The sequence below is a fragment of the Homo sapiens genome, chromosome 6 (assembly GCF_000001405.40).
Source record: "Homo sapiens chromosome 6, GRCh38.p14 Primary Assembly".
Lineage (NCBI taxonomy): Eukaryota > Metazoa > Chordata > Mammalia > Primates > Hominidae > Homo > Homo sapiens.
This window is the reverse complement of record NC_000006.12, coordinates 148,854,480-148,879,626: the sequence shown is the minus strand read 5'-3', so window position 1 is coordinate 148,879,626 and position 25,147 is coordinate 148,854,480. Positions and strand designations below refer to the sequence as shown.

Genomic DNA, 25,147 nt, shown 5'->3' with positions numbered 1-25,147 from the left:
CCATCTTCTCACTCAAGGTTTAGCCCTCTCTGCACATTCTACTCGCCTGCTTTTAAGAAATGTTGCTGTCAGGGCCCAGCCTTAGCGATTCTGATTTTAATTATTCTGGGACAAGTCCATGGTATTTGGTATTTTTAAAGTTCCTCACATAATTCTACTGTCTAGCCAAGGTTGAGAGCCACTGAGCTGCAAAACACAAATTCATGTACTTCATAATCCAGGCTGAATCCCACTTTCCAGAAGTAAAACATAACAGATTTTACCGAGGCTCATCTTCATCTCAGGCCACTTCCATCATTTCCGGTGGGAGATTATACAAAACAAGCTTCTTGTCAAAAGAGAATGCTGATGGAGCGTGGATGATCACAGAACTCCCAGTGACAGGGGAAGGTGATCAAGCTGTTCTGGTCAGCACCTGCTCCAAGGGGGTGCAAGGAAATTGTAAAGGGCCAGGCCTAGCTCACAGGTTGCCTGGGAGTGGGCTGGCACAGGGCACCTCCGGGCATAGAGCTTATCCCCTAAACCATATGGGAGCCTAAACCTTTCTGGGGCCCTAAAGATCTTTTCAAGAATAAATTTCAGAGCTTATAATTTCAGAACATATTGTTCCTGCAAACAATGTATTGTTCTGTTGAACCTCTTGTTTTATGGGTAAAAAGAGGAACTAAGAGCATCACCCTCTATCTGTCCAGAGTTTCTCTGGGCCCCACTTGACTTAAACCACCAGGGGATATTCTGTCAGTCCTGGAGACACTCATACATGATCCCCACACTCACACATAATCCCCATACTCATACATAATCCCCACATTCATACACAATCTCCACACTCATACCTGATCCCCACACTCATACCTGACCCCACCACTCATACCTGAACCCCCGACTCATACATGATCCCCTGCACTCATACACGACCTCCGCACTCACACACGACCCCCGCACTCATACACGACCCCCGCACTTATACACGACCCCCCGCACTCATACACGATCTCCACACTCATACACGACACCCACACTAATACACGACCCCCGCACTCATACACGACCCCCCTACTCATACACGATCCCCCACACTCATACATGACCCCCCGCACTCATACACGATCCCCGCACTCATACACAATCCCTGTACTCATACACGATACCCACACTCATACACGACACCCCACTCATACACGATCCCCCACACTCATACACGACCCCCCCACTCATACACAATCTCCGCACTCGTACATGACCCCCCGCACTCGTACACGATCCCCACACTCATACACGATCCCCCCCACTCATACACGATCCCCGCACTCATACATGACCCCCCCCACTCATACATGATCCCCCGTACTCATACACGATCTCCGCACTCATACACGATCTCCGCACTCATACACGACCCCCGCACTCTTACATGATCCCTCACACTCGTACATGATCTCCTCACTCGTACACAATCCCCCGCACTCACACACGACCCCCGCACTCTTACATGATCCCCCACACTCGTACATGATCTCCTCACTCGTACACAATCCCCCGCACTCATACACGATACCCGCACTCATACACGAACCCCCCACTCATACACAATCTCCGCACTCGTACATGACCCCTACACTCGTACATGACTCCCCACACTCGTACACGATCCCCCCACTCATACACGACCCCCGCACTCATACACGACCCCCCCACTCATACACAATCTCCGCACTCGTACATGACCCCCCAAACTCATACACGATCCCCACACTCGTACATGATCCCCGCACTCGTACACGACCCCTCGCACTCATACATGACCCCACACTCACACATGACCCCTCACACTCATACCCAACCCCGCACTCATTCATGACCCCTCACACTCATACACGACCCCCTGCACTCATACACGACCACCCCACTCATACACGACCCCTCACACTCATACATGACCCCCTGCACTCATACATGACCCCTCGCACTCATACACGACCCCACACTCATACACGACCCCTCACACTCATACACGACCCACTCATACACGACCCCTCGCACTCATACACGACCCCTGCACTCATACACGATCCCCTGCACTCAAACACGATCCCCTGCCCCCACACACAACCCCCCCACCCACACACGACCCCAGCACTCGTACATGACCCCCCACACTCATACACGATCCCCCCACTCATACGCGATCCCCCGCACTCATACACGACCCCCGCACTCATACACGACCCCCGCACTCATACACGACCCCCCCACTCATACACGATCTCTGCACTCATACATGACCCCCCACACTTGTACACGATACCCACACTCATACACGACCCCCCGCACTCATACACAACTCCCCGCACTCAAACACGACCCCCCGCACCCACACACGACCCCCCGCACCCACACACGATCCCCCCACCCACACATGACCCCCCGCACTCATACACGACCCCCACACTCATACATGATGCCCCCACTTATACACAATCCCCGCACTCATACACAACCCCCCACTCAAACATGACCCCCCTACTCATACACGACCCCCACAATAATACATAACCCCCCACTCATACACAAACCCCACACTCATACATGATCCCCGCACTCATACATGACCCCCCCCAACTCATATATGACCCCCCACACTCATACATGATCCCCCACACACTTCATGGGCCCACAGGATCCGCAAGTAAGAAGGCTCTGGAAAATCTGAAGCAAAGATACCCTCTGGTCTCATCCCTGAAACGCACCCCCTCTTTCCAGGCTGTACGACTGGGATGGAGAGGAGATAAGGAAACGTGGTCAGCACAGAGGAGCCCAATGCCATGCCCACGTGAATCCAATAGAGAACAACAACAACAAAAACAACAAAACGAATAAAGAAGAAATTGGTAGAATTGCTGACAAGAGAAAGGACTATGAAATGAATGATCAGGGTGCTGTGTATTTTAAATAGCCACAATCAGACACAATCACGCTTATGCAAGAGGGATGGTGAAAAGGAGCCTCAGGGGAATCACTTAATGGATTCAGTAGAACTGAGTAGTGACAAAGAACATGGCCCAGGGGTTGTAGAGTCAATCCTGCAGGCTCCAGAATCAAATGACCTGGGTTCAAATCTCAGACCTGCCCTCTACTAGCCGAGTGACTTTGGAAATATCACTTAATTTTCTTGATGTTTAATGGCCCCATTTACAACTTGAGGACAGTAAGTCACAGAGTTAAGATAATTAAATATATTGATATAGTTTGGATGTCCCCTCCAAGTCTCATGTTGAGATATAATCCTCGGTGTTGGAGGTGGGGCCTGGTGGGAGGTGTTTGCGTCATGGGGGTGGATCCCTCCTGGCTTGGTGCTGTCCTTGTGGTAGTGAGTTCTTGTGGGATCTGATTGTTTAAAAGTGTGTGGCACTTCCCCCACTCTCTCTCTTGCTCCCATTCCTGTCTAGTCCTGTGAGACCCCTGCTCTCCCTTCGCCTTCTGCCATGCATATGTAAGCTTCCTGAGGCCTCCTCAGAAGCAGATGCCAGCACCATACTTTCTGTACAGCCTACAGAACCACGAACCAATTAAACCTCCTTTCTTTATAAATTACCTAGTCACCAGTATTTCTTTATAGCAATGCAAGAACAGCTTAATACATATATTTAATGTAAATTTAAATTTAAAATCAAATGTAAATTAGATGTATTAAATGTGTGCAGCACTTATCACACTGCCTGTCCAGGATACAGTAAATGCTCAATAAATGGTCGCTACTTCCTCATCTTATATTACCAAATTTTACCAGTCATATTTAGCTTCCTTGTTTGTTTGTTTTTTTGAGGCGGAGTCTTGCTGTGTCGCCGAAGCGGGAGCGCAGTGGTGCGATCTCGGCTGACTGCAAACTCCGCCTCCCAGGTTCAAGCAATTCTCCTGCCTCGGCCTCCCGAGTATCTGGGACTACAGATGCGTGCCACCACGTCCAGCTAATTTTTGTATTTTTAGTAGAGATGGGGTTTCACTATGTTGGCCAGGCTGGTCTTGAACTCCCTGACCTCAGGTGATCCGCCCACTTCAGTCTCCCAAAATGCTGGGATTACAGGCGTGAGCCACCGCACCCAGCCAGTTATATTTAGTTTTATAATTCTATTTATTATTCACAAAATCAAAAGGAATCCTGAGGTCAGGGAATAGTTTATTGTATAAAGGACAAATATTAATATAAAATAATTATTTGATATTTTCTATTACTTTCCAATACTGTCTTGATATATCTTCTAAAATTTACAAAAAATTTTTTCCAATTATCTGAACTACACTTAACAATATGCAAATGAACTTCCAGAACCTCAGGGGCTATAATTTATTCTTGACTCTGAAGCCTTGCATTAGCAGATCTATTTTAGTCTGAATTGGTCTCTGAAGAATACAATGTTTTAATTCTAGATCACCTTATGGAAACTATAACATGCATTACTGTCAATGTCAAAGAAGCTGCCGTGACACTGTGTCAGTTTTGATCAAACACAAGCAATTCCTTTCAGAATCTTTCTTCCACAGGTCCTTTTCAAATCATAATCATAAGCAATTTAAATCCTTCCCCTTTTATTCAGAAGCAGCCATTTCCCACAGGATTCCGGTTACCTATGACACGATCATGTGGCGGCATGTCGCCCCGGGAGTCCAGGCCTTGATAAGACACTGTTAACGAAGGAGTCACTGTTGAAGACAATGCTGCAACCCCAGCTTTGTCCCTGCCAAGAAATTATGCTAATGCCACACTTTCCACCGTTAAACCATGGGTTGCATTTCTCTAAGAGGTAGCTGTCAGCACACACCAGCCGTTGCTAACAATGAGGAATTTGTGTGCTGTGTAAATGTCTCCAGCAGCTCCATTGCTTATAATTAATGCAGCCCCAAAACACTGTGATGAAGGAAAATTGCTGGCACAGCTTTATTTAAGCCTTAATAAAATTATTTTCCACTGAATTAAAACAAATGGCTTTATTAACAATCAATATTTAAATATTTTTACAAAAATATCTGCTTAAAAAAATCTGGAAGGCTCACCCAACCGGTTAACAAAGGCAAACATATCCCGAAAAGTACTTTCTTGATCTCAAATGTGAAAAATGAGCATTCCAGACACTGAAAAATAATATCCTAATTAAAATGCTATCAATTATGATTTAGAAAGTCATTCCATTTCTAATTAAACTTAAAAGCAAATTAATGCTCTTCCCTTACTATTTCAGGCTCAAAAACACTGCCTTGTTTTATAACACATCTTTTTTTCCATTAAATCTGAATATACATTTTAGAATGTCAAGGGTAAATTTGTAGAAGGAAATTACTTTCGGAATCAAATGATCAGTGCACTACTGCTATAATAACAACCGAAATATAAATATGTATAATTTCCAAATTAGCTCAGGAATTCATCATAATGTTATATGATCTTATGCAGGTAGAAATGGAGTATCAAAGAGAGATGGAATCACTTAAGGCTTCTGTTTCATTCCATTTGAAGTAATTGCTACAGTCAACTGATCTCACCTGTGGAATGCTAACACACCTGCTAACGCAGCAGCCCCAGCCCTGCACATGGCAAGCCTCTAACCAGCAGCCGGGTAGGGCCTCTTCTATCAGGACCTAGATGTCATGTGGCTGCCACAACGATTGACACTTTCCATCATGTGCTTATTGCACGAAGCACCCCTGATAAGTACAGAGCAGGTAAGGTGAAGATGACTAAGAATTTACCCTGGGAGAAAGAAAACAAGACAAGGCTGAAAACACCAGCATCCTCATTCTCATCATCAGTGATCAGCATTGATGCTGTTCTCAGCACTGTGCAAAGCACTCTCCGGACCTCATTCTACAGCAACCTAGGAGGCAAGAACCCCAGTTTACAATAGAAGCTGCTCAGGAAGGTGAGGTGACCTGCACCATGTCAGGCAGCTAATCATCAGGAGGTCCTGGGTTTGACACCAGTAGCCTGACTCTGAAGCCCTGTTCCATACCCACACACTCCCTGCCTTGCTTAGATTCCCACCTGGGAGCCACGGCAGGCTTGTGAGATCTTCATCCCTTTGAGGCTGATCTGTCTAGATCAGGGGTGGCCTAAGCAAAGTGGGGTCTCAGCTCTGGGAGCAACATCCAGCACCCCCCAGCTAGATGTGTACTTCAGGCAGAGTGTCCCTCGCCCATCGAGGACAAAGGGCTGCTGAAGAGCCTCATCACCTGGGAACCCAAGGAGCCAGCACAGTGCTCAGCAGGGTGATAACAGGGGGTGGAGAGGGACAAGTGAGATGGGGGCCCCCATCTCAGCAGCCACTCAGAGCCTCTGGCCACCTCCTGTCTTCTTCTAGCTGACGTGTCCTTTTCCTGGTCCCGGTTAGCTACAAGATGGCTGCTCTGCAAGGGTGTGCCCATTCTGCAGAGTCACCATTACTTTGAAATATTTGATATAAAAAGTGATCTTGGATTAGAAATCCATTCACATTATTGCAAGAAATTTCAGCATCACATTTGTCAGCAACAGAAAAGGAAACTCTGCTTGATTCTTTAAACATAATTTCAGTTGATGGGAATTTTTGAAGGGTGGTTGCGATAAGCTGAACAATGATTCCCCCAAAGTTGTCCTCGTCCTCATCTCCAAAACCTGTGAGTCCGTTACTTTACGTGGCAAAAGAGACCACGAGTCAAAGAATGCAGGCAGCTTCCAGGATGCTGGAAGATCCTAGATTACTTGGGACGAATCAATGTAATCACAGTGTCCTTGTCAGAGCCAGGCAAGACAGTCAGAGTGGGAGAAAGAGATGTGACGCTGGAGGATGTGTTTTGCAGATGGAGGAAGGGGCCACGAGTCAGGGAGTGCAGACAGCTTCTAGGAGCTGGAAAAGGCAAGAAAACAAATTCTTGCCTAGAGCCTCCAGAAGGAACACAGCCCTACTGACATCTTAATTTGAGCCCATTAAAACCCAGTTCAGATGAACTGTAAGATAATTATTTTGTGTTATTTTAAGCCACTACATTTATAGTAATTTGTTACAGCAGCAATAGGAAGTTAATAGTTGTGAAAATGATTTTTTATTTTTTGTCACTTCTTTCTATGAGCAAAATTTCTTGTAAGTGGTGACTCTCTGAAGACTGCTGAATGAAGCATTTCAAGTTGGAAATCCGAAGAGAGGTCATCACTCTCAATTATAAACTGATACATTTTTTATTTGGAGGTTTCCCACAACTTCAAAATTTAATATCTTCCCTAATATTTTGTATTTTGTTTTATGAATAATTACATAAAAATATGCGGTGAAAGTTTTCATCAAGCCTCATATAGACACCATCATCTCACCAGTTTACTTCAGTGTACCATCAAAATATTATCATTTTTTAAATATTCCATGATTTGAAAAGTTTTGATGTATTGCTTTACTTAACAAACATATAGAACATCAACAGATAAGAGTGTTGTCTTTGAAAGGGGGCTTTAATCCAACCAAACTGCCATTGTACTAAGCCTGATTTTCTCTCAAGCTTTGTTACGAGTCAGTACATTTCACCCGCGACATGCACGTGCATGCACACACACAGCCACATACACGATTTCAGAACAGAAAAATAACCATAGATATAGTACACCACACCCCTCAACTTACAGAGGAAATAATCAAAGCAATGAGAGGTTAAGTAATTCAGCTAAGACACACGGCTGGTTAATAGTGAAGGTTAAGAACAGCCCCAGGTGCTTGCTCACTCCACAGCATGACAACCTTACTACCTGCCATTTTTGACCCTAAGTGGTCACAATTTTCAAGCTTGCTTACCTAGCTTACTCTCCAAACCTGAATTGGAGTGAGTGGGTTTCTCTTATGTAATGAAATTCTTTCTCTAAGGACACACATATATCCTCATTGAGAGAACTTTTCTTAAAAGCTTCAAGCCTTGAAGTCAATTCCTACAAGCAATACTCCAAGTGTCCTGCATGTGGCTGTGGGGAGTTTACAGCCTACCAAGGTTACTACACTAATGTAGAAGTTCATGCTTTAGCATGTTTGTTGAAAAGAAGTAATACTTGTGAATATCAATTTCAGTAAATAACTCAAACTCATAGGAGACCAGGCCTGTGCAGCAATGTGAGTGAAATGCTAGCTGTCTGGGAAAGTATAAAGGGAGTGTGACAGGTGACGGGTAGAAATCAGAGGCAGGACAGTCACTACTGCACCCATCTAAGATTTACTGAAAATCTCTATGCTGGGCATTGTGCTGGATCCTGGGGATACAGTCTTAGTTTGGACTGCTGTAACAAATTGCCACCGACTAGGTGGCCTAAGTAGCAAACATTTATTTCTCACAGTTCTGGAGGCAGGAAGTCTAAGTTCAGGTTGCTGGCATGCTCAAGTTCCAGTGAGAGCCCTCATCCTGCCTGTGTCCTCACATGACAGAAAGAGAGGGGGACAGAGAGAGAGAAGGACAGAGAGAGAGAGGGAGAGAGGGAGAGAGAGAGAGAGAGAGAGAGAGAGAGGGAGAGAATGCTTGGCTGTCTCCTTCGTCCTTATAAGGCCCCCAATCCCATCATGGCAGCCCTACCCTCAAACCTAATCACCTCCCAAAGGCCCCACCTCCAAATATCATCACACTGGGGGTTAGGGCTTCAATATATAGATTTTAGAGGGACACAGCCATTGAGTCCATAGCACTGTCCCTCAGAAGTCTGCAGAAAAAGAGGTGACAGACATTAAACAAAGGATGATAAAATAAGTATTGATTTATGAGTGTGATGAGTCTTTCAAAGAGTAAATACAGAGTGATGTATGTGAGAAGGGAGAACAGAGGCCCTGAACTCCAGGAAGAGCAGGAAAGAGGGTGAGAGCATCCCAGGAGATGGTGGGCAGCCTGTGCTGGGCCCCAGGTCAGGAGGGAACAGGCCACTGTGAGTAACCAAGAGAAGACCGGAGTAAATGCATCCTGTAGTGGAGTCAGGCACATCTCCATGTAAAGGGAGTCTCCCCAGCTGTATCTGGAAGAAAAGAGGGACGCTGACAGCAAGAGAAGGGCAGGCGCACCTGGCCAGGGCACCATGCACCTGCAGCAGGGTGTGGCACTGGGAAGAGTGCAGGGCATCTGCATACCCAGGGGACTGCTGGATGGTGAGTCTAAGTTAAAGATGTGTTTACGACTTGAAACCAAAATCAGAAGAGGTAGTCTCATTCAAAAGGCAAATGGAAGTCCTCACAAAGATGCCAAAGGGATTGGGGCACATCTGAAATGAGCTTACATGCGTGCAGAACTTTAATGTTGTCACACATCATCTCAGCAGCCCCTCCCATCAACCCCAGGGGTCAGGAGGGCACTGAGACTCTCACCCTTCACAGGAAAGGAAGCTGAGCCCAGGTCACATGGCTGGGTAGTGTCAGAGCTGGGCTCGGACTGGGTTCAAGTCTCAGTCCAGGGTGGTATACACAGCAAGGCAATGGGTAGACTGGTTTCCTGCTGCCACTGTGTGTGTGTGTGTGTGTGTGTGTGTGTGTGTGTGTGAAACATTACCACTGTGAAGCTGGGGGAAAGCTAAACCCAGAATCCAATAGAAGTAGTCTGTGAGGACTAAGTAGGCCTTGGTGACTTTCTATGAATGAAATAATTCTTGCTGGGTTATGGGTCACGTGCATGAAGGTTGGTGTCAATGCACACATAATTTTAAATGGGTAAAATAAAATTGTGCTTCCAGCTCTGCCTCCTGTTTGATGGGTTTCTGGCCCATGGCCTGGTGTGACTGGTCATGACTGTGTCTTCCACATTCTAAATGCATCAATCCTATGTTTGACAGAGAAATGACTCATCACTTGCCAATTCTTCTCATGCTTTAGGGAAACGGGTAAGAAGGAACATTCTACCGGATGTTTCAAATAAACTGCATTAAAATGACATGCATGTGAACAAGAGACTTGAAGAGTTGCTCATAAATGCTGATGCTGATTTAGGAAGCGTGTGTGGATGAAATGCGTTTGATGCCAGCGTCGGTCTTATACAGATGTTGTGGGACAGATAGAACCATCCCATCTGGGATTATGCTTTCCTATAAACTTTCAAGTAACACAAGGAAAGGATCATAGTTTCTTCTTTATTAGGCCTTCAAATGTAAAATAAGGTTTTGAATAGAGCAGTGGAAATTATTGAAGTCATTTGGAAAGGTAATCCTCACAAAATTAACTAGCAACCTAACACATGAGCCTGATGGTGTCTATTAAAAGGGAGTAAGCTTTAATAAATTCATCACTCTCCTTTTCCTATCATCTCTCTAGTTCTATTTCACATCAGCTTTAATAGGATTTACGTGAAATTTTGTGGTTCACAGAACTATAATTTTGGAAGATAAACAAGGATTCCCAGACCTCCATATGTTACTCTATGCACAGATAAACACAACACCAAAAAACAAAACTACACCAAAGCCAAACAAATAGGTGCCTTAACATCAGAAATTCCTTTCCAAAGATAGGCTGAAGGCACAAGGGAAAGAATGCAGGGGAAGAATGTGAGTATGGCAGCCAACAGCCCAAGGTAGTGATCTACTTATTGGACGTAACCTTGGCAAGGTCTTGCAGTTTCTGAGTTTTAGTTTCCCTAGAGGTAAAGCAGGAAGAATAAAACTTACCTCATAAGGCTGGGGTGGTGTGAAACGGGGAGTGGTTAAAATCATCATTTATAAACTACCTGGCATACAAACATAAAGTGTAACTCTTACGATTATATTTAAAATAGAGCCAATTTAAGAACATGGTACATTAAGTAAAACATCTTCCAAGTAGTCACATACATAAACATCAGTCTGGTGCTGAAAGATGTAGCCCTTGTTACGCTCTTAGAATGGCCTGTCACAGTCTTCCTGCACATTTTTCAGGATTTATGATGGGGGGGTTATACCTGGGCATAAATTAATGTAATTTTCAAAACCCTGGCAGGGTTTGGGTATTCCTACACTTGTAGTATGATTCTGAAAAATAAAGTCTACCGTGGCTCATAAATACTCTTTAGTACTTAGTAGATCGGTTTCTTTTCTAGAGAAGTCTTAGTCCTACCTTTCAACAAAATGAGTTGGGAAATCCCTTCTAAAAGCCTGGCTGTTTTGAATTGCTCATAAATCTAGAAATATTCACGGTCTTTTCAAAGACGAAGTGAGTCACTCACTTTTGAATCACTGAATTTGAGGGTTGATGCAGATTACAGGGCTTGAAAGCAAAGGCCAGCACTAGCTCTGTTGGACAAAACCAGAGTTCATCTTTGCATTAAAACAAACGTCAAGTTTTCTGGTTTTCAGGGAACTAATGGAGAAAACACATTCGTGAATTCCAAATATATCCAAGCCTACTTAACATCAACTTACTTGTTGGAAAATGCTTCTTAATAAAACAATTTTTCCCCAACAGCAGAAAACATCAATTGAGTGAGTCTATCCTTACTAAAAATAAAGTCATTATCATGGTGCAAAAGGGAGCAGAAGCTCATCAGAAGACAGAGCTTTTGTCTAAGGAGTGGCCTGACATGGAGTGGGGCCTCAGATCACAGTGTCCTTTGCAGAGGAAGTGATGATGCCAGGACTGCTCATCAGTGGCAGGCTCATCAGTGATGAACAGCCTCTGACTGAGACATTAAGAAGATTACTGTGTTGGATGGAGGGAGGCACAGGATGATCTTCCAACCTTACTTCCAATTCTCAGATTCAGGGACTCCCTGAAGATCCCTTACAGCAACAAGCACAGCAAACTGCTCATCTTTTAAAAATCACCTTATTTATCATGTAGATTTCAATCCTACAAACAAGTGTGTATTAGTCTGTTCTCATGGTGCTGATAAAGACATACCTGAGACTGGATAATTTATAAAGAAAAAGAGGTTTAATAGACTCACAGTTCCACGTGGCTGGGGAGGCCTCACAATCAGGGCGGAAGGTGAAAGGCACATCTTACATGGTGGCAGATGAGAGCATGAGAGCCAAGCGAAAGGGGTTTCCCCTTATCAAACCATCAGATCTCACGAGACTTATTCACTACCACGAGAACAGTATGGGGGAAACTGCCCCCAGGATTCAATTATCTCTCACCAGCTCCATCCCACCCAATCTCAAGATGAGATTTGGATGGGGACACAGCCAAACCATATCAAAGTATGAATAATAAATATCAAGAAGAAGGATATTAATGATATCAAGAAGACATTTTAACATGGGTATGACTCTTTATAAAGAGTCGGTGCTATAGCACAGAATTTTACAAATAAAATGGCTTTCAAAAATACATACATACGTACATATATATGTGTGTGTGTGTGTGTGTGTGTGTGTGTGTGTGTGTGTGTGTATTCAACAATGCCTCAAAGAAAGGTAGAAATGGGAAGGGAAAGCTGTTTGATTAATGCAAACTGGGTTTTTCTCTCAAGAATGACTTTGTGCCTGCCAAATGACAAAGGTTTCACAGATTTTTCTCTACTGTGACTAGCAGGCAAATGTGTTGGTTTATGCCCAGTGCAGTGGTAGGACCTGGGGTTACGTGGATGTGAGATTGTCTGATCTCAGGACACAAAGACTGAAGTTAGTTGAGCATAGGAGAAGTGAAAGATACTTGCTTTCACAGCTGAGGTTTTACTAGAGAAGCCATAGAGCAGGCAGTAAGAACAAGACTCTGGTTGCCCTCGAGGCCATGACCGTTTCAGAATCAAGCAAAGCCATTACAAACCTAAAGAAAAAAAAAATGCCTTGTGGAGGTCGTAAAAAGATAAATCAAAGGAAGGTACATGTAACAGAGAATAATTGAAGAGATCACTCAGCAATGGAGGAAATATATTTCATGATAGTACAAAGAGGCATTGAAGCAAAAACAACTTGTAAGGAGAATAAAAACAATAACACGGGGTTATAAATGAGAAATTAATATTATAATGAAATTGTGCTGATGAAAGCTGGAAAGAGAGAATGAAGTTATACTAGCTAATAGAGATATGAAGCAGTGGAAAATGAATGTTTAGGTAGGGAAGCCTTGATATTTTTCTGAGGTACAGGAAAATAGAATGCAACTGGCATTTATTATGTCTATCATGAGTTGTTCATTAGGCAACTCACTAGGTAGTGCTCTCATTCAATCTTCAGGTGGATGTTGTTTTCGCATCTTGTAGACGAGGAAACAACCCTCAAGGGGTCAAAAAATTTCCCCAGGAAGGGACAACTAGCCAATGGTAGGGGCAGCACAGATTTGGAAGAGCCGGTTTCCACAGCCCATAGTTGACGTCCTTATTTTGCAGATCTACCCCCGACTACTGGTTTTTTCTGTCTGTATAACATCAGCAATTTAATAAAGGGGCAGATTTTGAAAAATGTCTTTCAAATAAATAAACGAGAGAAATAAGGTTTGGGAGCTCATCGTAGGTTTTCTAAACTATGTTATTTCATTTTTTAGTTATCACTAAATTTATTTAGTTATCACTAAATATATTTAGTTATCACTAAATATTGATTATAAAATAATCAATATTGTCATGGAAAAAAGCAGGGAAGAATTTAAAGTCTAATTAATTCTTTCTTTCCCCAATATGTATATGTATTTGTATATATATATACATACACACACATATACATATACATACACACACATATATTCTAAAGTTATATAAATAATGTCACATAAGGCTGTGCATACATGTAAGAGATAATTGTCTAACGAAGCATGCTTTCTCAATTTAAAAGCCTCAGACATACATTCCATGCATAGTCCCCAAAATATTCAAAGTCAAGTTAACAAAAGTTTGTTTCCTCACCTGGAGTGTTTTTATCCCATCTTTCCACCTATCCAAATTTTAGCCATTCCTATCCCCATTTTCTTTCTTAAGTCCATTTTTCAACACTCTAAGCCACATTAATTTGCCTCTTCTCTGAATTCACACACACACACACACACACACACACACACACACACACACACACACACAATTTCAGCAAGGAAAGAATGGGTCAATGCCGGACCTGGATGCTAATGACATTTGATTGCTGTATGTTTCATTTCACTTTGGCATGGAGCCAGCTTGTCTAACAACCAGGTGTTTTCTCTCTCTCTCTCTCTCTTTTTAAAACATTCTTTATATTAAACGTAATAAGTAAATGACTTTTCCAAAAAGAAAAAGGAATTTAAGAAAACACCCGACTTTCCTCTACAGTACCTCTGATCACAAAATTGGACACCACACTGAAAATGCAACACTTGATTCATTTCTGTGGGGAGTCTTTCAAAAGCTTTAAACACGGTGACCCCATGCCCAAAAGGGCATTTGAAAGACAATTTCAAAAGTAAGCCCTGCTGTTACTCCACTCCAGAGACCATTTTGAGCTTCTTTTCCACCACTAATGTCACAAAAATGACCAACACGCCAGGAAAGAGGGCTTGCATTTCGAGTCAAATCCCTTTAACAGAAGTCATTCTTAAACATGCCACACCAAACAGATGGAGTCATCGAAGTACTGTATGTACCACCTGTGCTTTCATCCAAATGCCACCTGCAGTACAGACCAAATGAACTTTTAAAGGTTCCAAGCCAACATAATGTTCACAGTCATGACCACTTCTAGGCCTAAAAATCGCAGAGTACAAAGTCGCATTTTGAGTTAGCTTACCTAGATTTTAAATCTTTTATGAATAAAACAACTATATAAATAATGCACACCACATTTTAAAAATTTTTATTAGCACTTGTGGAGAAAATAGACATCAGCCTTTCTGAATACTGAGCATTGTGTACTGAGGGCAAAACAAGGGAAACCAGAAAACCATCTCAATGCCCTGTAAACTGGACACTAGACCAAACTATTTTGTCAAGTTACAATTCCTCCCTTTACTATAACTATTAATCATGACATTTTCTGAAACAACCAAGGATAACTATTAATTATTGCCTCAACACATAACATTCCGGTGAGGGTTAATATTGAGCGTCAACTTGATTGGATTGAAAGATGCAAAGTGTTGGAAGTTCCAAGATGGATGAATAGGAACGGTTCCAGTCTACAGCTCCCAGAGTGAGCAATACAGAGACGGGTGATTTCTGCATTTCCAACTGAGGTACCAGATTCATCTCACTGGGGCTTGTCGGACAGTGGATGCAGCCCATGGAGCATGAGCCGAAGCAGGGCGGGGCATCGCCTCACCCGGGAAGTGCAAGGGGTCAGGGAATTCCCTTTCCTAGCCAAGGGAAGCTGTGACGCATGGCACCTGGAAAATCAGGTCACTCCCACCCTAATACTGCGATTTTCCAATGGTCTTAGCAAATGGCACACCAGGAGATTACATCCCACGCCTGGCTCGGAGGGTCCCACGCCCATGGAGCCTCACTCGCTGCTAGCACAGCAGTATGAGATCGAACTGCGAGGTGGCAGCCAGGCTGGGGGAGGGGCGCCTGCCATTGCTGAGGCTTGAGTAGGTAAACAAAGTGGCCGGGAAGCTCAAACTGGGTGGAGCCCACCGCAGCTCAAGGAGGCCTGCCTGCCTCTGTAGACTCCACCTCTGGGGGCAGGGCACAGCTGAACAAAAGGCAGCAGAAACCTCTGCAGACTTAAACGTCCCTGTCTGACAGCTTTGAAGAGAGTAGTGGTTCTCCCAGCATGGAGTTTGAGATCTGAGAACAGACAGACTGCCTCCTTAAGTTGGTCCCTGACCCCCGAGTAGCCTAACTGGGAGACACCTCCCAGTAGAGGCCAACTGACACCTCATACGGCCGGGTACCCCTCTGAGACAAAGCTTCCAGAAGAAGGATCAGGCAGGAACATTTGCCGTTCTGCAATATTTGCTGTTCTGCAGCCTCCGATGGTGATACCCAGGCAAACAGGGTCTGGAGTGACCTGCAGCAAACTCCAACAGACCTGCAGCTGAGGGTCCTGACTGTTAGAAGGAAAACTAACAAACAGAAAGGACATCCACACCAAAACCCCATCTGTATGTCACCATCATCAAAGACCAAAGGTAGATAAAACCACAAAGATGGGGAGAAACCAGAGCAGAAAAGCCAAAAATTCTAAAAATAGAGTGCCTCTTCTCCTCCAGAGGAATGCAGCTCCTTGGTAGCAACGGAACAAAGCTGGACGGAGAATGACTTTGGCGAGTTGAGAGAAGAAGGCTTCAGACAATCAGTAATAACAAACTTCTCCGAGCTAAAGGAGGATGCTCGAACCCATCGCAAAGAAGCTAAAAACCTTGAAAAAAGATTAGACAAATGGCTAACTAGAATAAACAGCATAGAGAAGACCTTAAATAACCTGATGGAGCTGAAAACCATGGCATGAGAACTACGTGATGCATGCACAAGCTTCAGTAGCCAATTCGATCAAGTGGAAGAAAGGGTATAAGTGATTGAAGATCAAATGAATGAAAAGAAGCAAGAAGAGAAGTTTAGAGAAAAAAGAGTAAAAATAAACGAACAAAGCCTCCAAGAAATATGGGACTATATGAAAAGACCAAATCTACGTCTGATTGGTGTACCTGAAAGTGACGGGGAGAATGGAACCAAGTTGGAAAACACTCTGCAGGATATTATCCAGGAGAACTGCCCCAACCTAGCAAGGCAGGCCAACATTCAAATTCAGGAAATAGAGGGAATGCCACAAAGATACTCCTCGAGAAGAGCAACTCCAAGACACCTAATTGTCAGATTCACCAAAGTTGAAATGAAGGAAAAAATGTTAAGGGCGCCAGAGAGAAAGGTCAGGTTACCCACAAAGGGAAGCCCATCAGACTAACAGCTGGTCTCTTGGCAGAAACTCTACAAGCCAGAAGAGAGTGGGGGCCAATATTCAACATTCTTAAAGAAGAGAATTTTCAACCCAGAATTTCACATCCAGCCAAACTAAGCTTCATAAGTGAAGGAGAAATAAAATTCTTTACAGACAAGCAAATGCTGAGAGATTTTGTCACCACCAGGCCTGCCCTAAAAGAGCTCCCGAAGGAAGCCCTAAACATGGAAAGGAACAACCAGTACCAGCCACTGCAAAAACATGCCAAATTGTAAAGACCATCGATGCTAGAAAGAAACTGCATCAACTAACAAGCCAAATAAGCAGCTAACACGATAATGACAGGATCAAATTCACACACAACAATATTAACCTTAAATGTAAATGGGCTAAATGCTCCAATTAAAAGACACAGACTGGCAAATTGGATAAAGAGTCAAGACCCATCAGTGTGCTGTATTCAGGAGACCCATCTCATGTGCAGAGACACACATAGGCTCAAAATAAAGGGATGGAGGAAGATCTACCAAGCAAATGGAAAACAAAACAAAGCAGTGGTTGCAATCCTAGTCTCTGATAAAACACACTTTAAACCAACAAAGATCAAAAGAGACAAAGAAGGCCATTACATAATGGCAAAGGGATCAATTCAACAAGAAGAGCTAACTATCCTAAATATATATGCACCCAATACAGGAGCACCCAGATTCATAAAGCAAGTCCTTAGAGACCCACAAAGAGACTTAGACTCCCACACAATAATAATGGGAGACTTTAACACCCCACTGTCAACATTAGACAGATCCATGAGACAGAAAGTTAATAGGGATATCCAGGAATTGAACTCAGTTCTGCACCAAGCAGATCTAATAGACATCTACAGAACTCTCCACCCCAAATCAACAGAATATACATTCTTCTCAGCACACATCACACTTATTCCAAAACTGACCACATAGTTGGAAGTAAAGCACTCCTCAGCAAATGTAAAAGAACAGAAATCACAAAAAACTGTCTGTCAGACCTCAGTGCAATCAAACTAGAACTCAGGATTAAGGAACACCCGCAATACCGCTCAACTACATGGAAACTGAATGACCTGCTCCTGAATGACTACTGGGTACATAATGAAATGAAGGCAGAAATAAAGATGCTCCCTGAAACCAATGAGAGCAAAGACACAACATACCAGAATCTCTGGGACACATTTAAAGCAGTGTGTAGAGGGAAATTTGTAGCACTAAATGCCCACAAGAGAAAGCAGGAAAGATCTAAAATTGACACCCTAATATCACAATTAAAAGAACTAGAGAAGCAAGAGCAAACACATTCAAAACCTAGCAGAAGGCAAGAAATAACTAAGATCAGAACAGAACCGAAGGAGACAGAGACACAAAAAAACCTTAAAAAAATCAATGAATCCAGGAGCTGGTTTTTTGAAAAGATCAACAAAATTGATAGACCGCTAGCAAGACTAATAAAGAAGAAAAGAGAGAAGAATCAAATAGACACAATAAAAAATGATAAAGGGGATATCATCACCGATCCCACAGAAATACAAACTACCATCAGAGAATACTATAAACACCTCTACGCAAATAAACTAGAAAATCTAGAAGAAATGGATAAATTCCTGGACACATACACCCTCCCCAAGACTAAACCAGGAAGAAGCTGAATCCCTGAATAGACCAATAACAGATTCAGAAATTGAGGCAATAATTAATAGCCTACCAACCAAAAAAAGTCCAGGACCAGACGAATTCACGTCTGAATTCTACCAGAGGTATAGAGAGGAGCTGGTACCATTCCTTCTGAAACTAGTCCAGTCAAGAGAAAAAGAGGGAATCCTCCCTAACTCATTTTATGAGGCCAGCATCATCCTGATACCAAAGCCGGGCAGAGACACAACAAAAACAGAGAATTTTAGACCAATATCCCTGATGAACATCAATGCAAAAATCCTCAATAAAATACTGGCAAACCAAATCCAACAGCACCTCAAAAAGCTTATCCACTATGATCAAGTGGGCTTCATCCCTGGGATGCAAGGCTGGTTCAACATATGCAAATCAATAAACGTAATCCAGCATATAAACAGAACCAATGACAAAAACCATGTGATTATCTCAATAGATGCAGAAAAGGCCTTCGACAAAATTCAACAGCCCTTCATGCTAAAAACTCTCAATAAACTAGGTATTGATGGAACATATCTGAAAATAATAAGAGCTATTTATGACAAACCCACAGCCAGTATCATACTGAATGGGCAAAAACTGGAAGCATTCCCTTTGAAAACTGGCACAAGACAGGGATGCCCTCTCTCACCACTCCTGTTCAACATAGTGTTGGAAGCTCTGGCCAGGGCAATCAGGCAGGAGAAAGAAATAAAGGGTATTCAATTAGGAAAAGAGGAAGTCAAATTGTCCCTGTTTGCAGATGACATGACTGTATATTTAGAAAACCCCATCATCTCAGCCCAAAATCTCCTTAAGCTGATAAGCAACTTCAGCGAAGTCTCAGGATACAAAATCAATGTGCAAAAATCACAAGCATTCCTATACACCAATAACAGACAAACAGAGAGCCAAATCATGAGTGAACTCCCATTCACAATTGCTTCAAAGAGAATAAAATACCTAGGAATCCAACGTACAAGTGATGTGAAGGACATCTTCAAAGAGAACTACAAACCACTGCTCAAAGAAATAAAAGAGGACACAAACAAATGGAAGAACATTCCATGCTCATGGATAGGAAGAATCAATATCGTGAAAATGGCCATACTGCCCAAGGTAATTTGTAGATTCAATGCCATCCCCATTAAGCTACCAATGACTTTCTTCACAGAATTGGAAAAAAACTACTTTAAAGTTCATGTGGAACCAAAAAAGAGCCTGCATTGCCAAGACAATCCTAAGCCAAAAGAACAAAGCTGGAGGCATCATTCTACCTGACTTCAAACTAAATGACAAGGCTACAGTAACCAAAACAGCACGGTACTGGTACCAAAACAGAGATATAGATCAATGGAACAGAACAGAGCCCTCAGAAATAATACCACACATCTACAACCATCTGATCTTTGACAAACCTGACAAAAACCAGCAATGGGGAAAGGATTCCCTATTTAATAAATGGTGCTGGGAAAACTGGCTGGCCATATGTAGAAAGCTGAAACTGGATCCCTTCCTTACACCTTATACAAAAATTAATTCGAGATGGATTAAAGACTTAAATGTTAGACCTAAAACCATAAAAACCCTAGAAGAAAACCTAGGCAATACCATTCAGGACCTAGGCATGGGCAAGGACTTCATGACTAAAACACCAAAAGCAATGGCAACAAAAGCCAAAATTGACAAATGGGATCTAATTAAACTAAAGAGCTTCTGCACAGCAAAAGAAACTACCATCAGAGTGAACAGGCAACCTACAGAATGGGAGAAAATTTTTACAATCTACCCATCTGACAAAGGGCTAATATCCAGAATCTACAAAGAACTCAAACAAATTTCCAAGAAAAAAATCAAACAACCCCATCAAAAAGTGGGCAAAGGATATGAACAGACACTTCTCAAAAGAAGACATTTATGCAGCCAACAGACACATGAAAATATCCTCATCATCACTGGCCATCAGAGAAATGCAAATCAAAACCACAATGAGATACCATCTCACACCAGTTAGAATGGTAAAAAGTCAGGAAACAACAGGTGCTGAAGAGGATGTGGAGAAATAGGAACACTTTTACACTGTTGGTAGGACTGTAAACTAGTTCAACCATTGTGGAAGACAGTGTGGAGATTCCTCAAGGATCTAGAACTAGAAATACCATTTGACCAAGCCATCCCATTACTGGGTATATACCCAAAGGATTATAAATCATGCTGCTATAAAGACACATGCACACGTATGTTTATTGCGGCACTATTCACAACAGCAAAGACTTGGAACCAACCCAAATGTCCATCAATGATAGGCTGGATTAAAAAAATGTGGCACATATACACCATGGAATACTATGCAGCCATAAAAAAAGGATGAGTTCACGTCCTTTGTAGAGACATGGATGAAGCTGGAAACGATCATTCTGAGCAAACTGTTGCAAGGACAGAAAACCAAACACCACATGTTCTCACTCATAGGTGGGAACTGAACAATGAGAACACATGGACACAGGGTGGGGAACATCACACGCCCGGGCCTGTTGTGGGGTGGGGCAAGGGGGGAGGGATAGCATTAGGAGATATACCTAATGTAAATGACGAGTTAATGGGTGCAGCGCACCAATATAGCACATGAATACATATGTAACAAACCTGCACATTGTGCACATGTACCCTAGAACTTAAAGTATAATTAAAAAAAAAAAAAGAAAGATGCAAATGTTGTTCCTGGGTATGTCTGTGAGGGTGTTGCCATTTGAGTCAGTGGACTGGAGAGGCAGACCCACCCTCTATCTGGGTGGGCACCATCAAATCAGCTTTCTCCATCTTTCTCCCATGCTGAATACTTCCTGCCCTCGAACATCAGACCCAAGTTCTTCAGCTTTTGGACTCTTGTTACATCAGTGATTTTCCAGGGGCTCTCAGGCCTTTGGCCACAGACTGAAGGCTGTACTGTAGGCTTCCTTACTTCTGAGGTTTTGGGACTTGGATTGGCTTCCCTGTTCCTCAGCTTGCAGATGGCCTGCTGTGGCACTTCACCTTGTGATCGTGTGAGTCAATACTCCTTAATAAACTCCCTTCATATATACATCTAGCCTATTAGTTCTGTGCCTCTACAGAACACTGACTAATAAAAAATGCTTTCACAGTCTTAGAAGGCATTGTGTATGTTTGCATTACACAATATATTCTATAATGTTGCTACAAGTAAACATACTCTTTGCATTCAACACATACTTGGGTTTTTTTTCATTTTCGCCCAAGTGTTGTTTTTTGCCTAATGAAGATTCCTATTCACTGACAGGAGAAACCACTATCCTGTGGTTTCTCAACCACTAGCCACCCAGACCTGGATCAGACAGAAAAAATAAACAGAGGTGGAGAAGCACTTGCTATGCTTCTTCCTCCTCAAACATCTGGGAATTTTTTTTTTTTTTTTTTGAGATGGAGACTCACTCTGTCTCCCAGGCTGGAGTGCAGTGGCATGATCTCAGCTCACTGCAACATCTGCCTCACATCTGGGAAATTTCATAAGGGGTAAGAGCACTTCAAGACCACCTGGAATCTTCACCATGAATAAGCTCTACAATATCGGTCAAGCCACTCAGCTTTTCTGAGTCTCTTTTCCTCATATGCAGAATTGGAGTTAAGATGACTATAACCGAGTATCTAATGTCATGGTGCAAATACAGTCTGTGCTCTAAGTTCTGCCCTTGGTAAGTTAGATATACTTACCCAGTTGTGTTAATTGACTGTGCATTCACGGGAAGGAGTAGATACAATGTTGGCAGAACTTACGGTGGGCGTAATACATTCGCTGTGCCTTAAAGGATGGCTATGACTCAACTCAGTTGTGATAAAAGGAATATACATTTACAGTGGGAAACCGTATAGTCATGAGAATGACAGGCAGAATCAGCTTGGTGTGTATGTGTGTGCTTAGGGGGCTCTGACCGTGAGAGTAGCTGTGGCTCTCCTTAGAGCATCCCTACAATTTGTTGCAGAGCTTGTGGTGAAAATTCACAGTTGAAGCCAAGTTCTGTTCACTGAATGTGTTTAACAATTTCAAGATGTTGTTAATTGACTTCCTCATAAAAATGATGAAAAGCCCAAAAAATTCTAAGATGACATACTACTACACCTACATTCATTCCCTCCTTTAAATTATATATAATAGGCATATAGTTTATATATTATGTATATATAAGTAATATATGTAATAATATATGTAATTTATTATATAATGTAATATATATATCACAAAGCTCTCATTGCCAGTATTAAGTAATTCAGCTATAATAAATTATTTATTCTAAAATGTTATCTCTGATTTTCCTCCTCAAAAAAGGAGGAAAAAAGAGAAAGTCAGGGATTCAACCACAGTAACAGTTTAGATCCCAATTCTCCATAAGCTTTGGTATGAAGACCAACCTGAAATGTAACTTAGGGCAAGTTTACACCTGTCATTTTTCTATTCTAGTCAGTTCAAAGGCAGCCTTCCTGACCAAGGCAAATAACTCACGCATAAACACGTGATTTACCCAGATCATCTCTGACATCCCACAAGAGATTATGTGGGAAAGCCCGCCCCGCAACCCTAGTCCCATCTCTTCAAGAGGTAGCTACCGCCTAGTCACTGGCCTTTATTGACTAAGGGAAAAGCCCCCATGCAGGACATGCTAGGTTGGTGGCACCTCTGCCCATACACTATCACCTGTGGCTGTCTCCGATGAATAGGACTTAGTAGATGCGTACTTTGATATATAACATTTTATTGCACTACGTTATGCTGATGGATGTGGCTCTGGTTTTATTTGTTTAGCATGAATCATCTTTGTGAACGTTTCCCCTATTTACCTTACATAATATTAATCAAAACATATTTTTCGGCTGGCCACAGTGGCTCACTCCTGTAATCCCAGCACTTTGGGAGGCCGAGGCAGGTGGATCACGAGGTCAGGAGTTCAAGGCCAGCCTGGTCAAGATGGTGAAACCCCATCTCTACTAAAAACTACAAAAATTAGCCGGGTATGGTGACACGCACCTGTAATCCCAGCTACTTGGGAGGCTGAGGTGGGAGAATCGCTTGAACCCAGGAGGTGGAGGTTGTAGTGAGCCAAGATCGCGTTACTGCACTCCAGCCTGGGTGACAGAGTGAAACTCCGTCTCAAAACGAAACAAAACAAAACAAAACCCCATATTTTTCAGCTGTAAGCAATTTGACTAGGTTGTAAAAAGTTAGAATTGATCACCAACATACAAAGGAGGAAATGTGTCATCTATCAATTGACTTTTTTGTCAGGTCCAGGTGCTGCCCTAGTTCCTGCCAGCTCAAGTGTGTATAATTTACACAACACAAACTGTATTGCCCAGCATCTGCAGTGGTACCCGTGGCCAACTCCAGGATACATGTCTTGCTCAGCTTTCTAGTGAATCTCATCGTAAGGGTCTCCTTTTTCTCCCGAAGTATTAATATTATGAACATTAGTGAGCAAAACTCAGGTGAAAAAATGCAGATTTCTACCTGTGTGCAAGTGCATGGAAAGATGAAACTGCCTTCTGCCAAAACCACTTCCAGAAACTCATCCCCACCTTCCTTGGATCCTTTTTTACTCTGATTGGAAACTACCATTTAATTTTCTTAGTTATCTGGCTTTCAGCCTCCAAATAAGTCCTCCCTGGGAACAGTGACCTTCCCAGCAGAGAGCTTGTTCCTTCTCTCCCGTCTGTTCCCACTGGCCTTCCTCACCTGGCTTTCACCAGAAGTGGGTATTTCTTTACCTAAGACAGCCCACTACCTGCTTTCTGTGAGTGAATCCTCCCCTGGTGAGAAAGGGCAGTGATCTGAGAACAAAAGGAAATTGTTAGAGCACTATGAGAGGAGATAACAAATCCCCGGCGAGGCAAGTAGGCTGCAAAGCAATGACTGTTTGAAGCACACTGGGTAAAAACCAGGAAAGACCCTGATACGGTTTGGCTGTGTCCCCATCAAATCTCATCTTGAATAGTAACTCCCACAGGTCCCACGTGTCAAGGGAGAGAGACCCAGTGGGAGGTAAATGAATCATGGGGGCGGGTCTTTCTCGTGCTGTTCTCGTGATAGTGAATACGTCTCGCGAGATCTGATGGTTTTAAAAAGCCTGTACAAGCTCTCTCTCTTTGCTTGCTGGCATCCACTTAAGACGTGACTTGATCCTCCTTGCCTTCCACCATAATTGTGAGGCCTCCCCAGCCACGTGGAACCCGACGTCCATTAAACCTCTTTCTTTTGTAAATTGCCCCGTCTCGGGTATGTCTTTATCAGTAGTGTGAAAATGGACTAACACAGACCCCTAGCGAATAATTAACATCGGAATAATTAATATCCACTACAATGCAAAAATATTTCAGCAACAGAGGCTTCTAAAATGTTTTCCTACCTTTAATTTCTACCCTCTTGACCCAAGTTTTGTGTATTACACCATGATCTCACCCCATCCATATGTGAACTTCAATTCATCAGGAAATAGAAGCTCAGCCCTCCCCCAGCTATCCTTGCTCCTTCCCCCACCTGATATTTTTATTCCAAGGCAATACTTTCTAGAGTTTTCCAACACTGACTTCTACCAAAGCATGGTAATATTAAAATTAAGATTTGTTCCATAATGAATCACCTTTTCCTAAAATGAAAAACTAGGACTGTGTTTCTGTAGACAGTATACTGTAATGCTGAGAATGTAAGTAA

At 42.9% G+C, this 25,147-nt stretch overlaps 1 protein-coding gene across 7 annotated transcripts in view, besides 4 other annotated features; it reads right to left on the bottom strand.

Moving 5' to 3' along the window:
* UST (uronyl 2-sulfotransferase) overlaps positions 1–25,147 on the bottom strand; it is a 329,961-nt gene that overhangs the window by 197,364 nt on the left and 107,450 nt on the right. The gene's annotated exons all lie outside the window — the stretch shown is intronic.
* Positions 5,143–6,342: an enhancer, noted in NCBI's record as "MED14-independent group 3 enhancer chr6:149194421-149195620 (GRCh37/hg19 assembly coordinates)". NCBI's record gives its function as "activates an origin of replication core promoter dependent on BRD2, BRD4, P300/CBP and CDK7 cofactors, and independent of MED14, by STARR-seq in HCT116 cells {active_cell/tissue: HCT116}" and the evidence as "EXISTENCE:reporter gene assay evidence [ECO:0000049][PMID:35650434]".
* Positions 10,400–10,694: a silencer, noted in NCBI's record as "tiled region #942; HepG2 Repressive non-DNase unmatched - State 22:ReprW, and K562 Repressive non-DNase unmatched - State 22:ReprW". NCBI's record gives its function as "represses a minimal TATA promoter and a strong SV40 promoter by Sharpr-MPRA in HepG2 and K562 cells {active_cell/tissue: HepG2 | K562}" and the evidence as "EXISTENCE:reporter gene assay evidence [ECO:0000049][PMID:27701403]".
* Positions 12,448–12,497: a silencer, noted in NCBI's record as "silent region_17654". NCBI's record gives its function as "represses an Ori minimal core promoter by ATAC-STARR-seq in GM12878 lymphoblastoid cells {active_cell/tissue: GM12878}" and the evidence as "EXISTENCE:reporter gene assay evidence [ECO:0000049][PMID:35858748]".
* Positions 15,271–15,780: an enhancer, noted in NCBI's record as "NANOG-H3K27ac-H3K4me1 hESC enhancer chr6:149184983-149185492 (GRCh37/hg19 assembly coordinates)". NCBI's record gives its function as "activates a minimal SCP1, AML or CMV promoter by ChIP-STARR-seq in primed H9 embryonic stem cells {active_cell/tissue: H9 hESC(primed)}" and the evidence as "EXISTENCE:reporter gene assay evidence [ECO:0000049][PMID:30033119]".